The sequence below is a fragment of the Homo sapiens genome, chromosome 11, assembly GCF_000001405.40.
Source record: "Homo sapiens chromosome 11, GRCh38.p14 Primary Assembly".
Lineage (NCBI taxonomy): Eukaryota > Metazoa > Chordata > Mammalia > Primates > Hominidae > Homo > Homo sapiens.
Window position 1 is genome coordinate 12,973,242 of NC_000011.10, and position 18,259 is coordinate 12,991,500.

An 18,259-nucleotide genomic window follows, 5' to 3' on the forward strand; every position below is an offset into this window, starting at 1 on the left:
CAGGAGAATCACTTGAACTGGGGAGGCGGAGGTTGCAGTGAACTAAGATCACGCCATCACACTCCAGCCTGGGGGTCAAGAGCGAGACTTCGTCTAAAAAAAAAAAAAAAAGAAGAAGAAGGGTAGAGGAGGGTAGCCAAATGAGACCAAAGGTCTGCAGAAGCCTGTGAACTACCCTGCTTTTCAGAGCACAGGCACCATTTAAATCCAAGCTATCATTATGACTACAAAGCTATTTACTTATTTTAATACTGTATTATTTAATACAGTGAATCAAGCATTTTATGACTTGAAGTAACTTCAGAAATAAAGGTTGGCTTTCCCTGTCATTGAAGACAGGTTGAGAGTTCATTTCTGCTTAACAGATCAAGGTAGTAAATTACATTTTCTATCAGAAAGAAATGTTTAGAGAGCTCTAGGAGGAGCGCTGGGTCTTTGGCCTGAGCAACAGGAATTTGGGCTCAGTGCCCAGATCTCTCTCTCTCTCTCTCTCTTTCTTTCCTTTTTTTCTTTTTTCTTTTTTACCCTGTTCATGACCCTTAGAAGTCACAGAAACCTTCCTGGAACCTCAGTTTCTCTCTTTGAAACAATCACCACTTGCCTCCCTTGGCAAGTTGTATGATGAATAATGACACAGTGTTAGCAAAGTTTCTTTGAGGTCTTTGGATGAAAGACAACCTATAAACTTTGCTGAAGATTTACTGTTTTATTAAAGGAATAGCTGCATATAGTACTCCACTAATAAATGTTGACAAAGGTAAACATTCTTCACTCATCCTAGCAAGAGCAGGTTATTCATCTATTGCAAGTACAATGAGGGAGGGTGTGTTCCAAGGTCATAAAAATTTCTATTAATATTGTCCAGAAACATATTTTGGATCTATATCTACATTGTCACCTGGAGTTAAACTAATGGAGTCAGTCATCTAGACTTACATAATATTGGATAATGAACAAAACAAGCATGTGGCTTAGCTTTGTCCCTTGACTTGGGTATGTAAAGAGTAACATGGATTGCTACTCAAAAAATTAAAACCAGAATTCTGGTAAAACAAGAAAAAGCTTCAAGATGAATATGGAGCCTTGTACTAGGATTGACTTTGCAGAGTATCTTGACAAATTAGACAGGAAGACATATGTTGGCCACATAGGAAGGTTCTAGAGAGATTTCAGATCTGCCATTAATTACTAATATCCAGGTTTCTCATCAACTTAGTGAATTTACAGAGGCTTGAAAGCACCCACATCTGTGGTACCTGGGAATTGTAGGTAAATTCTCTGGTTATGTGGAAAAAGCTAAGGAATATGAGTCTAGGAAACTGGTAGCTCTGTCATTAACTGTGCAATCTTGAACAAACTATTTTCTGGGCCTCAGATACCTTATCTGTAAAATGAAAGCATTGAACTAACAATAAAACTAACTATTTACTGAGCATATACTAAGTACTAAGCTCTTTGTTATATACTATATGTACTTTATCTTATTTAATTCTCTGAGGTAGGTGATATTACTTTCATTTAACAGATGAAACTGCGGCTCAGAGAGTTTGCAAAGTATTTTATGCATAGTCATTTATTTGATAAATATTTGCTAAGCATCTTCTATATATCTTATGTCAAGAGGTAAGGGTAGACATTTAGCTCTCATCCTCAATGAACTCACAATAGGAGTCATCACTAGAAGATGGAAGCCTGAGTATGTGAGCTTAGCAGGTCTAAGCTCTTAGCCTTTTCATTGTACTGGATCAGAATACAAACACGCTGATGTTTCTTCCATCTAAATGAACAAGTGGCTTCTCTCAATCCCACTTTGCCCATCAGCTTCCACCCCATTTAGATGCTTCTCATTGTAGCACTCCTATAATGAGTTGTCTGTACTGCTTGTCTCCAATGCCTGTCCTCCTATTTTCTCTTAAACTCACCCCACTCAGGCTTTTGCCCCAACCAGGCACCCAAGTCTTATCATGGACATCAATGATCTTCACATGCTAAATCTAATGGGCAGCTCCCACTCCTCATCTTACTTGAGTATCAGTGGCATTTGACACAGTTGATCCCCCTTCTCCTTGCTATATTTTCTCTTCACTTGGCTTCTAGGACTTCCCCTTTCTCTTAGTTTCTTTCCTATCTCCTTGGCTGCTCTTTATCAGTTTTATTTGCTGGTGTTTCCTCTTCTCACAGATTCTGAGTGTTGTAATATTCCAGGACTCAGACCTTGGCGCTCTTCTTTGTCTACACTTACTCCCCTGGTGATAACACCCCGTTTAGAACTCTTTAATACCATCTTTATGCAGATGACTCCCAAACTTGTATCTTTGGCCCAAACCTCTCTCTCAGATTTCAAATGTAAGAAACCACTGCCACTTGCCATCTCCACTTGAACATAATAGACACCCAGCATCAGCATGTTCAAATGTGAACCCGCCATCTTTTCTCTGAAACCTGTTCTGCTTGCAGCCTTCTCCATCTCAGATGATTGCAACTTTACCTTCTAGTTCCTCAAACCCAAATCCTTGCGTCATTCTTCACTGCTCTCTTGCTTACATACTCCATAGCCAATCCATTAGGAAACCCGTTTGGCTTTATCTTCAAAATGTATTTAAAGACTGATCAATTCTCACCACTCCCACTGCTATCACCCTGGTCCAAGCCATCATTAACTCTTAGCTGGGCATCTACCCTGTGCTGGGCTTTGTGCCAGATGCCAGGAATGTAGATAAACAGGACACAGTCCCTGCCCACAGAGAGTACACAGTCTAGTGAGAAGACAGATATAAAACTTGATAATCATGATGCATTATGATAAGTGCTGTGGTAGAGTCGTGGAAGTTTAGAAGAGGGTATGTCATCTTTATATCCCTTTCAGCTCAGATGTTAAAGCTGCTCGCCTTAGTCCTATATCTTTAAACTAAGCTGACCCACAATGTACTAGACACCTTAAAGCTAATTAAAACAAGTTGTGGGTTCCATTCACAAATACTGGACCCGTTCATTTACAATACTTCAGTACCTGTCTTTCTACTTTTATTTTTGCCTTCCCTTCCTTATATCATGCTCATCCATGAACTTAGAGGTACAACTCAGAATTCTCCAGCATTGACGTTCAGTGTGTGTTTCCCAGGATGTGGCCTGCATTCACCCTTCTTCTCCTGGCAACTTTTAATAAATTGCCCACTGGACCCGCTCCAGCCCCAGGGACTCAGACCCAGTGGCCTGACTGGTGCTCAGTCTGTGGAAGATGACAATAGCAATATACCTTGATGACATCTCAAATTCCCATGGAATCAACCAGATTGGTGCTTAATTAAGAACAATTGGCCTTGGCACCCTCAGTATGAGAAATATCTAGGTATCCATCTGTTCCATTTGATTTTCACTGCTTCCCCTTAATCCAAGCTCTCTCCTTTCCTTCATTCTCTCCCCTGACAATTAATTTGTACATGGTTTTCCATACACATCTTTTTAAAGTACTGCCTCAGCTACATCATTCTTTAGGCAAAAGTCTTCTGGGGTTCTTTATTGCCTACCAAATAAAATCCAAATTCATTACCAATCAAAGCCCTCCATACTTGGACTCAAACTTTCCCCATCTTATCTCCCAGCATACTTGTATATAGCCATGACCTACCTACTCATGGAGCCCATAACCTGCACACGCTTTCCCACCTTCTGCTTGTGCTCTCTCCACTGCCAGGCATGGTCTTCTCCCCTTCATTCACTGAGACAATATCTTCAAGGCCCAAGCTAACTTTCTCCTCCATCTTTCCCACTGTGGCCCACAAATCTCTGCCTACTCTGAAGTTATAGCCCTTTGGCCTATATTCACTAGCAATGAATCATGTCCGTCCCTCTTCATAACATCTATTGCAATGCAGTCCTTATTGTTTTATTTGTCTACTCTTACACTGCTATTGATCCTTTTGTCAGCTATGTCTTCTCCCTTGGACTATGTCATGAACCTGTGCAATGGGAAAGCACAGACTTTCGAGTGAGATATGGGTTTTATGCCAGCTGTCTTATTGATTAGATATGTGACTTTGAGCAAGCCACTCATCATGCAGCCTCAGCTTCCTCATCTATAAAATGGGGATAATAACTGTCTCATAAGACTGTCGTGAAAATTAGATAAGACAGCATGTGTGAAATTGCTTAAGGGTGCATGGTACATAGTGTTTTTTCCCTTTTTGTGTCCCGCATGGAGCTTTATACATAGCATGGCTTGAAAATCTATTGATTTAATTTTGAAACAATATGTCTATAATTACCTTGAATTATGAACAATTAGAGAACACCCATTTCTGCCATACACATTAGTGCCATAAAACACCTGGAAATAATGGGTACATTGCATCCTTTTAAATGCATAACTAGATTTGCAAAAGGAAAAGAAAAAAGGAAGGAAATGCTCCATGTCCACAAATGGAGTGTGAGCTGACATAAGGAGTTGCAAGGAGTATCTGATACTTCGGCTGTCCTTGAGGGCAAGGTTGTCCGTTTGGGGTTTCATTGCTCATTCAGGAACAAGACATCAAACTGAGAAGCCTGCATAAGCCAATACCTTTTAAAGGCACATTTGGGGAAATTCTGCTTAGCTGTAAAGAGCTCTGGGTAGGAAAAAATGTTTTCCTTCTGAGAAATCATAGCAAGCATCCAATCGTAACTAAAGGATTATACCCACAGCAGGTATAATACCATAGGGTTTGAGTTTAAAAAAATTTTTTGGGGGACAGGGTCTCACTCCATTGCCCAGGCTGGAGTGCAGTGGCATGATAAATGCTCACTGCAACCTCCTCCTCCTGGGCTCAAGCAATCCTCCTACCTCAGGCTCCCGAATAGCTGGGACTACAAGCATGTGCCACCATGCCTGGCTAATTTTTGCATTTTTTCTAGAGACAGGGTTTTGCCATGTTGCCCAGGCTGGTGTTGAGCTCCTGGACTCAAGAGATCTGCGCACCTTGGCCTCCCAAGGTGTTGGGATTACAGGAGTGAGCCACCACACCCAGCGAGGTTCTAATTTATACTACTTGAGTGTGGGGGAGGTCATCCCCAATAATTCAACATAAGAAACAACTTGAGCTGATAACAAGGTTGGCAGAAGCAAATGCAAAAACCTTTTTGAAGAGATACTCTTAACCCAAGCTGCACAGAAATTCCATAAACCTCACCGAACATCAATCCACATATGAAACACAGAAACAATCTCACAGGAAACAGCAGACATAAAAAAATAAGCAAAGCAGCAACCACAAAAGCAGCAGAATTACACCCCCAAGTTAGCAATATTTACTGCAGTGGCTGGACCCGGGTCCGTCTTCAAGGAGCATTCAATCAGACTGGGAAACAATTCATTAACAGTCTAAGGCAATAAAGACAAAACCCAATTTAAGAATGGCCTGGGATCCACAAGGTAATTAGAATATGCTGTTCAGCAATCAGCATGTCATTTTCCTTAGAAAACAATGTTTTACCCAGTAGATCACAAAAGCTTTTGGAATTCACAAGTCAGAACCTGTTGAGGACACTGAGGCACAGTTTCCGGCACAAATTTGTGCTCCATAATCACTGGCTAAATGAATTCATAAATGAATGAATGAGGTAGCTAAATCTGACCCAGGTTCCAGTACTGCAGAACACGAGGCCAAGGAGTGAAGAGGAAGGAGGAGAAACAAATATTATTGTATTTCCAAGGCACAAGCCCAGCTGTCTGGAAAGCTTGTAAATAGATACAGTTTGCATCAGACACTCTTCCACCTGCCCACTGTAGATACTGGAGATTATCTCACTGATCCTAAACCCAGGAGTCACTGAGGCTGTCTACACCTAAATGCCCCCTGCTAGGAATGCCCATCTTCTCAGTGCTGGGATCTTAGCTCCATGTTTTTGGAAAGCAGATAGAGTGAGGATCAGGGTAAGATGCAAGATTTGAACAGCCATTTACCCCTCAGAGATGTCTGCAACTCTAACAGTTGCTTGTTTCCCCAAATGAATCTCTAATTCATGTGACAAAGTGAAATAAGTGTATTCCAGCTATGTGGTCATGATGGACTAGGACTGAAAACCTTTGCCCAGGCTCACCTTCCTGAGGTCCATCCTTGGGGTCTTCATTCATTCACTCATTCCTTCAGCAAAGTTTATGGACTGCCTACTTTTGTTTCAGGCTCTGTCTACCTACTTCTGTTTCAGGCCCTGGAGAGGCAGGAGTGAACAAGACACTATAGCCATGCTCCCATGGAGTTTTCATTCTAGGCAAGTGGACAAATAATAATAAAAGAAAACACATGGACAGGATATATACAGAGTGACACATGCTACTTAAAAGAACAACAAAACAGGGAGAAGTGAGAGGCAGCAGCCTTCCCTTCCTCTCACTAAAAAAAAAAATCAAAGCATGGATTCCTTTTTATTGCTCCTCCCGTGTTTTTTGTTTGTTTGCTTGTTTGTTTTTTTTAGATGGAGTTTCGCTCTTGTTGCCCAGGCTGGAGTGCAATGGTGCGATCTTGGCTCGTTGCAACCTCTGCCTCCTGGGTTCAAGCGATTCTGCTGCCTCAGCCTCCGGAGTAGCTGGGATTACAGGTGCGTACCACAACGCCCGGCTAATTTTTTGTATTTTTAGTAGAGATGGGGTTTCACCATGTTGGCCAGGCTGGTCTCGAACTCCTGACCTCAGGTGATCCACCCACCTCAGCCTCGCAAAGTGCTGGGATTACAGGCTTGAGCCACCGTGCCCAGCTGCTCCTCCCATGTTTTTGTCTTCCCTACCACCTCTGATGAACCCACAGTTTTTTTTTTTTTTTGGTTGGTTGTTTGTTTGAAGCTTCTGTTTTTTTTGAGCTTCCTCTCTTGGTAGCTGAGTCTCTCCACTCAGGGGGGAAAGGAGTGAGTATATGGAGATGTCGAAATATTTGTAGAAATGTCTTAACCTGCAATGATAACTGCCATCACACTATCTGATTCCTTAGTGGTTCACTCACACACACTCCAGCAAAGTTGTTTCTCTATGTGAGTTTTAAGGCTCTGCTTATCAGTGGACTCATCTTTGCCTCCCTATTAATTTCAGCATAGAAAAAGAAGTTTTCCCACAGGTAACCTTTGGAAACAAAGGCAGAGCTTGAGCAGTGATCGAGGCAATGATTAAGCAGTCAGAAATAAAACGTGAGCTTGCATTCACCTCTGCCGGTGGCGGCCTGAGCTTCTTCCTGTAGACTGTTGACAAAGAAACTTGAGAAGGCAAAAAAGCCTTTTCAATAGCAAGAGGACACTGTGAAGTGCAGGGAGGACCATATTATGTTGATGATGGATGAGTGGATCCCTCTCCACTGAATGTGCCAGGCTGGAGCCCATCCATTAGAGAGAGCTTAATCTGCCCAGAGATCTCAGCAGCTCCGGCTGCTGAAAGATAAGCCTCCTCTTCCTGCCTCCTCAGAGGGCTGTTCTCCTGAAGAAGCTACCTGGCGTCTGTGTAGTGTTCAGAAACTGCAGGAGTGATTGCTTCTCCTCCTCTCTGGCTGGCAGCCCTTGGGGTGCGAAGCATGAATCCAACCTGGAGCTATCTTGCTGCAAGCTTCCCTGTTGTCCTGGTCACAAGAGTCCTCAGTTGTTCTCAAAATCGTGGAAGAAAAAGTCTTTTATACTTGAAAACTCATAGTGAGGAGAGCTTAAACTTTCTCCCTGTGCAGAAAAGAAAAAAATGCATCCTATTTTTAAATGGGTTTCCTCATAGAATCTTCTGATGTGTTAATTCCAGGTCTTGGTCTACAGCTTGAAAATAAAAATACCAACAAATCAGTGTCCCTTGTGAAGGACTTCTCTCCATCTATGCCATACCTCTGTCTGTCCCTGTCTCTGTCTCTGTTCTCTCTCTCACATGTCTCCTCCCCACCCACCCTGTGTTTTGTTTTGCTTGTTTTGTTTTGAGACAGGGTCTCTGTCACCCAGGTGTTGTGCATTGGCTCTGTCACAGCTCACTGCAGCCTCAACTTCCTGGGCTGAAGTGATCCTCCTGCCTCAGCCTCCCAAGTAGCTGGGACTACAGGTGTGTGCCACCACACTCAGCTAATTTCTTCTATTTATTATTATTATTTTTTTTGTAAAGACGGGGTCTCACTATGTTGCCTAAGCTGGTTTCAAACTCCTGGGCTCAAGCAATCCTCCCATCTCGGCCTCCCAAAGCGCTGGAACTACAGGCCTGAGCCACTGTGCCTGGCCTCCTCTCTGTGTTGAACTCACTGTATTTCTGCCCATTCAATTCCATGTATTGTCCCCCTCCTCTCTGCTCCCCCCATCCCTGCCCACACTTTCAACATCTCCCACTAGTGCCATCAGCCTCCTAACAAGCATTCATCTCTGTGCTTTTATATGTGTTTTTTTTAAAGTCTATCCTCCTCACTGTCTTGGCTTATTATTATGTTGGTCAGCAGCTCCTTATTACCTACAGTACAGGGTCCAAACATCTTAACATGACATAAGCAACACCTATCTACTCGTTTCTTTCTGCTTCCTGCACATACTCTTCTCACAGCTGAAGCATTCTATTTAAAGGATCTCAAATGCTGAAGTGCAGTCTCCAGTTGTTGCACATGCTATGTCCTTTGCTCTTCTTTCTAGGTGAGCTTCCATTCAACCTTCAAGGCCCAGATTAGAAACTTTGGAACTTTGAGAAACACATTAGGCTTCTGATTGTGTTGCTATTGTAATATTGTATTGCTTATCTATTTCAACATAATGAATTGCATACAAATTTAGTGGCTTAAAACAACAAACATTTATTAGCTCACAGTTTCTGTAGTCAGGAATCTGGGAGTGGTTTAGCTGGTGGTTCTGGCTTACAGTATCCCATGAGGTTGTAAGTGGAATAACAGCAGGAACTGCAGTCATCCAAAGGCTTGACTGGTACTAGAGGATCCACTTCCAAGCTCACTAATGTGGCTTAGCAAGAGACCTCAGTTCCTTGCTTGGCTGTTGACTGGAAGCCTCAGTTCCCTACCAATTGGGACTTTTCTCATGACAGGGCAGTCATCTTCCCCAGAGAGAGTGACCCAAGAGAGAGAGGCAGGAACCACCATGTCTTTCAGGACCTAGATTTGGAAGTGCCATGTCGTCACTTTTACCATATTCGATTGGTCCAACAAACAATGGGGTAGGAGACCACACAGTGTGAATACCAGGAGGCCAGGATCATCACTCAAAATTCATAAGACCCAGGCTTAAATTTTGGTTCCACCACTTATTTGCTGGCTGACCATAGGTAAGTTATTTAACCTCTCTGAGCCCTGATTTCCACATCTGTAAAATCTGAATGATAGGATTGACCTGACAGGGTTGACGTTGAACCTAAAAAGGTGATTTACCTTAAGCACTTGGCATGTAGTGAGCATTTAATAAATGTTAGCAATTATTATGTTGATAACAGTTCACAGACTCCCTGGGCCAGTAGCCCCAGGGGTACTCCTATACAGTCCTGTAATGCTCTTATCTTACATTACTCTCCACCTGGGTACTTACTCTTAGATTCAGAAGTGTTTAGACCTTCAAATATAGGGCCTCTATGTCCATGTCTTTCATGAACTGTTTTTCTTTGCACAATCTCAGGCTTCTCTAACAATATTAAGCTTCAATCCCATTCCTTCAGATCCCAAAGATGTGAATGAGATTGTATTTGCATCCTTAAATTAAAACTCCAAGTTTAGCTTGTTTGTTAACTCCATCCCACATGTGGTCATCTGCTTCAGACCTTGGGGCCTCATCCCCATTGGAATTGTTTTTGTGTCATTTTCGTTCATCAGCTGTGAGTGGTTGCTCCTTGTTAGGGCCTAGGCTCGGTGCCAGGGTTGCCAAGATAAAGAAGACAGGAACATAGCCCTTTAGAACCTTAGTGTTGTTTCATATCATCATTTTTCTATTTTCTCTGGATGTCTTTCTTCTCAATCTTGCTTGAAATGCAGTTTTATTACTAACAACCACCAATTCTTGAGCACTAGCTTCATGTCAGAGTATGTTCATGTCATCCCTCTGCCATTCCTGCAAAGTGGGTATTACCGTTCTCCCCATCCCTTCTCCATCTTGGAAACAGAAGGCTCCTCATTTATTACAGAGGTTTCTGACTCTGGATCTTGAGCCCTTTCCAAAATGACAAGTTGCCAATGTAAATATTTTTTAAATTTAGTTTTATCCCTAGAATGTGATCACCCTACTGCAGATTGGCACATCACTCGCAGTAATGTCCCTGGTCCCTGGGAGACATGCACGCCAGTCTGCCGGTGTTTGTCCAAAGGGTGACAGGGCCCCTTCAGATCTTTGGTTTCCACAGTAACTATGCAGCCAGCCATTCACTCCCGGCTCCAGTCCACTTTCCAACAGAGAAGAAATGAGCATATTAATTGAAACCCTAACCCCTTCAGTTTTCTACTTAGGACTTCAAAGTTACCAGAAAGTCCGCCCAGATCTCATTTGCCCGAATAATTCTTTCGCAGGGTGGTCCCCACCCCCACCCATGTCCACTCCCTGCCTTCCTTTGCTCTACTCTGTGCTCTGGGAGCCTGGCCCCTCTGAAGCATCACCACAGCTTTTTTGCCCTCTGGTTCCCTTTGGGTTCAGACAAAGGGAGGCACTGGCTAGAGATCAAAGGGCAGCAGGAGAAGGAGACTGAAGTATTTCTTCTTTCCTGATTCCTCTCTACTTCCGCACCATGTTTCAGGCGATAGTTGTGTCCCTGGTGGCCATAGCTCCTGCCAGGGTGGGTAGGAGGGAGGTACCTCCTCTGAGTCTCTAGCTCTTACTTGGCCCAGAAACAATCTTTCTTCCCCTTGTCCTTTCATGCCTAGGGGTGCTAATGCCTTCCAGATGATGCAAATTATGCCCTATACTAGGCTATTGTCTCAGTTCCATGAAATTGCAAAATACATTATTGACTGTCATGGTTTTCTCCACACTACTTCTGATCAAGGAATATGTTTCATAGCAAAATAAGTGAGGCAATGGGTCTTACCTACACCCATGGGATCTGCTATCTTAATCTTGTAAGAAGCAGTGGGCCAGACAGAATGGTGGAATGGAACAGCCTGCTGAAGACCTATTCGTGGCACCAGCTGAGAGACAACACTGTGAAAATTTAGGGTGCTGTTTTACAGGATGCAGTATATACTTTGAATCAGCATACGATATATGTTACTGTTGTACCCATAGACAAAATACAGAGGTCAAAGTATCAAGGGGTAAAAGCAGAAATGGCTCCTCTCACTTATTGACGTAATAACATACTTATAGAACTTTGTTCTGATGTCTTGGTGGTCTGAGTACCCAAAGGAAGAATGCTTCCACCAGGGGACACAACCCATTCAATTGAAACATTATGGGCTCCTCAGGCCACTAAATTAAAAGGCAAAGAAGGAAGTTATTCTACCTGCTGGGGTGGTTAGTTTTGATTACCAAGGAGAAATTGGATTGCTGCCATACAAGGAGGGCATGGAGGACTGTCTGGAACCCAGGGGATGCTTAGGGATGCCTATTAGTACCTCCAGGTCCAATAGTAATACTTAATGGAAAAATAGGCAGAACCTGAAAGACCCCAACCCTTTAGAAGTGAAAGCAATGATCATTCTGCCAGGTAAAGAACCCACATCAGCTGATGTCCTGGCAGAGGACAAAGGAAGGAAATGTGGAAAGAGTAGTGGAGGAAAGAAGTTATAAATATCAACTTTGCTGGTGATCAGTTAAAGAAACAAGGACTGTTAAAAACTATGCATGGTTTTTTCCTTACGTGTTATTTACACATGTATTATTACACACATACTCATGTCTTCTCTCTATTTCTTCCTCCTTATGATTTATAATTTATTTACGTATTGGTGGTGGTTAACTTAACTTTAACATATAGTCTTTAGTAGAGTGAAACACCAAAAGCCAAATGAAGAAAGTACGGAGGAAGATGGGAATGATCAACTGTGTTAAAAGTGCTTTCTTCATTTCCACAACTGCTAAGGGGCTCAAGAATCCCCTTACCTGGGAAGCTCCTTTGACATCCTTTGACCAGCAATTTTACTAGCCAGCAAAAGCTACCATTGACTGAGGACTTTCTTAAGTACTTCACAGGCATACTATCATTCAGCAGAACACTCTTTAATTTATCTGTGGGATAGGAATTGTGACTCCAATTTGCACATTCAAGAGCTGAGGTTTACAATATTGAAGACGCACACTCAAGTTTACTATCTGTGGAGCTATTTGATCTAAACCAGGTCTGTATGAGCCAATGTCCTGTTTTTCATTGCCTCATACTTGATTTGTTTCTTATTTTTCACTAAGGTAAATACTACTGATACAAACATCTTATACAAAATTAAAATTTAGCCTCTAGATCACAGAACGTTCAGATGGGACTGTAACTAAATGATCAGGCGAGACTGATATTCATGTCACCCAGAGACAGATACTGTGACTGTCATCTGGAAATGAACACAATTACTTTTGGGATTTTGTGTCTTTTTGTCTTTTTTTCTCTGGGAGAGGTAAGAGTACATTTGTACAAAGGCTAGTTGCATGTTATTAGGCAGAGACGTAAAACCATATTGTTGTATGGAAGTTCAAGTGTGTATAGAAGGGTGTATATGAGTAATGAGGGGCCAAAGGGGTGGACTGGACCAGATGGTCAGTTATGATTTCTCAGCTGCAAGCCCATCCTTCTATGCTCTGTGTTTTGATGCTGGGGCTGGGACTCTATAATCACATCACTCCTTTACCAGCTGGTTCTGTGAATAGGCGCACTAAAGGAAAGGTAGATGGGAGGAAGAGGAAGAGACTTACTTCTTCCAATTTTGGCATGCTGCTCCTGTCAGCATCCTCTAAGCAATAGTTTGTCTCCCTGGTAGTGGTAATTGGTTCCAAGGCAGTTTACGATATGGAAGCAGGCTGCCATCATAGCAAGCAAGTGAGAGAGAAACAGAGGGTGAGGAAGATGGAAGCCAGATTCATTTGCAATCTAATCTCAGAATTGACACCCCATCACTTTTGTTATATTCTACTCCATGCACAAGAGGATTATATGATGGCATGACTGCCAGGAGGCAGAGATTATTGGGAGCTGTCGTAGAGGTCTTCTACCATGTGATGTTAAGTCGGTGTCCCTGACGAATCAATGCATTCTGTTAGATTCTGTTCATATGTTAGTTGGTTTCTGTTTCTGTTTCTTTACTGGATTCGTATACGGTAGTCTGTTGGTGTTTGCTCCCTTTACCCTGCTTTGTAAATACAGTCAAGTCACCATATAACGATGTTTCAGTCAACGACAGACCACATATTCAACAGTGGTCCCATAAGATTATAATACCATTTTTTCTATGATGTTTTTGTATGTTTAGATACACAAATACTTACCATTGTGTTACATCTACCCTACCTGCAGTATTCAATACAGTAACATGCAGTACAGCTTTGCAGCCTAGCAGCAATAGGCTATACCATATGGTCTAGGTGTGTAGTAGGCTATACCATCTAGGTTTGTGTAAGTACACTATATGATGTTTGCACAACAATGATGAAGTTGCCTAATGAAGCATTTCTCAGAACATATCCCTGTCATTAAGGCACACGTGACTGTAATTCCTCCATTAAGAACTTTAAAATTTGAAATGACTGGGATGAATTATTTTAGCTCCTGGGCTGCAGACTGATGACTGAGTGGATAAACTCAGTGGGCTGGTACTGATCTGGGGGTTGCATGGATCCTCTGTACTTGGAAGCAGAAGACCAAGGCTAGCTTAGCTTTGCCACTCACTCGTTCTATGCCCTTGGATGATTCACTTAACCATCTTAAACCCTAGGGTCCTCATCTGGAAACTGGGGAGAATAAAGCCTCACTTTCAGGGTTATGGTGAAGATTAAGTGAAAATTCAAGTGCCTGGAAGAGTGTCGAGCACACAGTTAGCTCTCAAGAAATGGTTGCTATTATTGGTAGAAAATGTATCCTAATGTTCAATCAACCTGATTAAAAATGTCTACTTTGTCTGGGCACGGTGGCTCACGCCTGTAATCCCAGCACTTTGAGAGGCCAAGGCAGGTGGATCGCCTGAGGTCAGGAGTTCGAGACCAGCCTGGCCAACATGGTGAAACCCCGTCTCTACTAAAAATACAAAAATTAGCTGGGCATGGCGGCAGGTGCCTGTAATCTCAGCTACTCAAGACGCTGAGGCAGGAGAATTGCTTGAACTCGGGAGGTGGAGGTTGCAGTGAGCCGAGATCACGCCATTGCACTCCAGACTGGGTGACAGGAGCGAGACTTCGTCTCAAAAAAAAAGTCTATTTCACAGGGTTGTGGGGATTAAATTAGATGATGGGTGCAAAGTGCCTAGTACTGTGGTTAATGGTTGACAAGTGCCCAATAAGTATTAGTATTAAATTGCTTTTTAAAAATTTCAAATAAAATTTGTTTGTAGGCTAGAAAGTACAAGTACACTATATTAAAAAATATTTCTGTTAAAAAGGAATTAACTTGGTATCAAAATTAGGCAAGAACCCATTTTATTTATAACTACATTTAAAATTCTAAAACTGGTCGGGCACAGTGGTTCACACTTGTAATCCCAGCACTTTGGGAGACTGAGGTGGGTAGATCACTAGAGATCAGGAGTTCAAGACCAGCCTGGCCAACATAGTGAAACCCCGTCTCTACTAAAAATACAAAAAATTAGCCGGGCGTGGTGGTGTGCGCCTGTAATCTCAGCTCTTGTGATGCTGAGGCAGGAGAATCGCTTGCACCCAGGAGATGGAGGTTGCAGTGAGCCAAGATCGCACTACTGCACTCCAGCCTGGGTGACAAAGTGAGACTCTGTCAATAAATAAATAAAATTCTAAAACAAAGAGAATCCAATAATCAATTATCTCTCTCCCCCTCTCTCTCCATATGTATCATAACTAACAGATTTATTCCAATAATTCTCATCAAAATTTTTCTTTTGAGATGGTGTCACTCTGTTACCCAGGCTAGAGTGCAGTGGTATGAACATAGTTCACTACAGCCTCAACCTCCTGGCCTCAAGAGATCCTCTTGGCTCAGCCTCCCATGTAGCTGGGACCACAGGTGTGCACCATCACACCTGGCTAATTTTAAAAAAGTTTTTATAGAGATGAGGTTTCACTGTATTGCCCAGGCTGGTCTCGAACTCCTTACCTCAAGCAATCCTCCCTCAGCCTCCCAAAGTGCTGGGATTACAGGCATGAGGCACTGCATCTGGCCTAAAATAAACAAACAAACAAACAAACAGTGATTGATTTAGTAAACATTATCTTTTTCTCTGGAAAACTGAGTTACATGGATTTCACAAGGTTACTGACTTTCAATGTATGGCTAAAATTGGTGGTAGATTAATTTATGGACATGCTAGTAACAAAATAGAATTTAATAATCTGTTTCATCCTCTAAGTATTTCTGACATTTTGTTGTTGTTGCTCATTAGTCCCTGGCTACAAATAACCACAAACTCCCTAGTTAAGATGATGTCAGGACTCTCAGACTAGGGAAAAAAGCCACATTCTGGTTGTAAATGAAAATTTAACGGAGAATAAGATATTTGAAAGAGAAAATCATTGTTTTGAGAAAGGAACAAAGAAGCCAGACAAGGTATAAACTTTACCAAATGTTCAAAAAATTCATTTAATATCGGGCTTTATAATTCATGAAGTTTCTTTTCTTTTGGCTGCCAACTTATCTAATTACAATTCTAGATTGACAGCAAAAATATTTAATATTCTCTGAGGAAATACCCAACTCAGGTGAGACAAGGACAGAGCAATGAAATGGAAGAAAACTGTGAGAAACCAGGGAGACTGTATTAGTCCGTTTTCACACTGCTATAAAGGACTACCTGAGGGCCAGGCATGTTGGCTCACGCCTGTAATCTCAGTACTTTGGGAGGCCGAGGCGGGTGGACCAGCTGAGATCAGGAGTTGGAGACGAGCCTGGCCAACCTGGTGAAATCCCATCTCTACTAAAAATACAAAAATTAGCTGGGCATAGTGTCGGGCGCCTGTAATCCCAGCTACTCGGGAGGCTGAGGCAGGAGAATCACTTGAACTCGGGAGGCGGCGGTTGCACTGAGCCGGGATCACGCCATTGCACTCCAGCCTGGGAAACAGATGAGACTCCGTCTCCAAAAAAAAAAAAAAAAAAAAAGAACTACCCGAGACGGAGTAGTTTATAAAGAAAGGAGGTTTAATTAACTCACCGTTCCGCATGGCTGGGGAGGCCTCAGGAAACTGCAGAGGGTGAGAGGGAAGCAAGCAGTTTCTTCACAATGCAGCAGGAGAGAGAGAGAGAGTGAGGTAGGAAGTGCCACACTTTTAAGCCGTCAGATCTCGTGAGAACTCACTCATCATCACGAGAACAGCATGGGGCAAACCGCACCACGATTGAGTCACCTCCCACCAGGTCCCTCCCTAACATGTGGGGATTATAATTCAAGATAACATTTGGGTAGGGACGCAGAGCCAAACCATATCAGAGACAATCCACGAGGGCCATGAGGTCGGCTCAGCCCTGATGTACTCTGGAAATCCTGGAATCAATGTGCCCATAGAGGGATGTGTGACAGGGAGGAGGGATCCTAGAGGGTCATGATATGACCTGGAGGCAATGAGATCAAATTCCTGGTCCTGCTAAGCCCCCAAATCGTAAGAGTTTACATGCTTTCAGGTATTTCTGGACTGTGCTTTTTAACGTCTCAAAACCTTTTTACATACATCACCTCATTTGAGCCTGATACAGACTAGTGAGCTAGGTGAGGGCTGGTTCTTCTCTATCTAGGTGAGGAAAGTGACAATCGGGAAGAGAAAGGACAAAAACCACTGCATGTTAATGGAAATAAATGACAAGGAGAAACAAAACAAAGGCAAGGACTCCATGGTGATGAAAGAAAGGCACATTGCCCAGGAAGGGAAGTGGAGGCCATGGCCCCACTTCTGCTCCTGACCCCAACCAGGAGACCACCAAGTTGAACCCAAGGGTGTGGCTGAAGATGTGCCTGGTCTTCTAAGATGTTTGCTGTCCAACTGCTGGTGTTGAACCTCCACTCCTCCTAGTTCCTTAATCATGTAGATAAGTCTATTTACATCCTCCACTAATACCAACTTTTACAGTGGAACGGGGTAAAGCCCTAAAAAGTATTTGTTACTGTAATGTACCATATAGTGGTAATTATTATTATAAGAAAGTAACTTGTAAACTGCCAAGTGCTATACAAATGTCCATTATCATTATTATGATGATGATTAGATAATGATCATGTTGGTTTTTCTCCAACCCAAGGAGTGCTCATTCAGTCCCATCTTTTCTTCTTCAATTTCAGTAGCTTCCCTATCCAAAGCCAAACAAATTTTAGTGTTCTTAATACCCTCAGTATGGTAGCTTGTTAATGTCTCTTAAAAGCTCAAATAATTTATGCTTACTTTTTAAACTTTCTTCTTATAACACAGCTTCCCCTCCCTTCCCTCCCTGTCCCCCAAAGCCAGAAACTCTAGTGGGCTAGAGAAATCTCCAACTGGCAGAGCTTTTAGAAATAGAGTTAGGCGACGGGGTGTGGTGGCTCACGCCTGTAATCCCAGCACTGTGGGGGGCCAAACCGGGGGGGGGCGGGTGTGGATCACTTGAGGTCAGGAGTTCAAGACTAGCCTGGCCAACATCGTGAAACCCTGTCTCTACTAAAAATATAAAAATTAGCCGGGTGTGGTGGTGTGTACCTGTAGTTCCAGCTACTCAGGAGGCTGAGGCAGGAGAATCGCTTGAACCCGGGAAGCGGCGGTTGCAGTGAGCCGAGATTGCACCGCTGCACTCCAGCCTAGGCGACAGAATGAGACTTCGTCTCAAAAAAAAAAAAAAAAATAGAAACAGAGTTAGCCTCACAGAGTCACAGAAGTGGAAGGACATGGAAGTGAACAGATGACAGTACTCAGACCCACAGTGATCACAGTGGTCACTTCCCCAGGATCACAGTGGGGCAGCTGCAGTCATGAGTGAAAGTCAGCACTTCCAGCACCCGGCCTAGCGCTCTTTGCACTGAGCAGGGCTCTCTGATGTGATTTTCCTTTGCCTCCAATGTCAAAATCCCAGGCTTCTGAGATTTTATTCTTGTTCATAGTTTCCCCAGTATGGTTCCACATAGGGGGTTGATCATAATCCTGAAAGACCCATCCCAAATATTGAAATCCTGAAAGATCAAAATCCCAAAAATATAATTCTGGAAAAAATAAGAAGAAATTATCTTTAAAACATTTA

The 18,259-nt window shown here is 42.8% G+C and overlaps 1 long non-coding RNA gene across 1 annotated transcript; it reads right to left on the reverse strand.

Moving 5' to 3' along the window:
- Positions 1–6,292: 6,292 nt before the first annotated feature.
- On the reverse strand, positions 6,293–16,307 carry LINC00958 (long intergenic non-protein coding RNA 958). Its single transcript, NR_038904.1, has 2 exons — positions 16,215–16,307; positions 6,293–7,758 (listed from the first exon to the last, which is right to left on the reverse strand). It is a non-coding gene; the product is annotated as a long intergenic non-protein coding RNA 958 (long non-coding RNA).
- Positions 16,308–18,259: the final 1,952 nt, after the last annotated feature.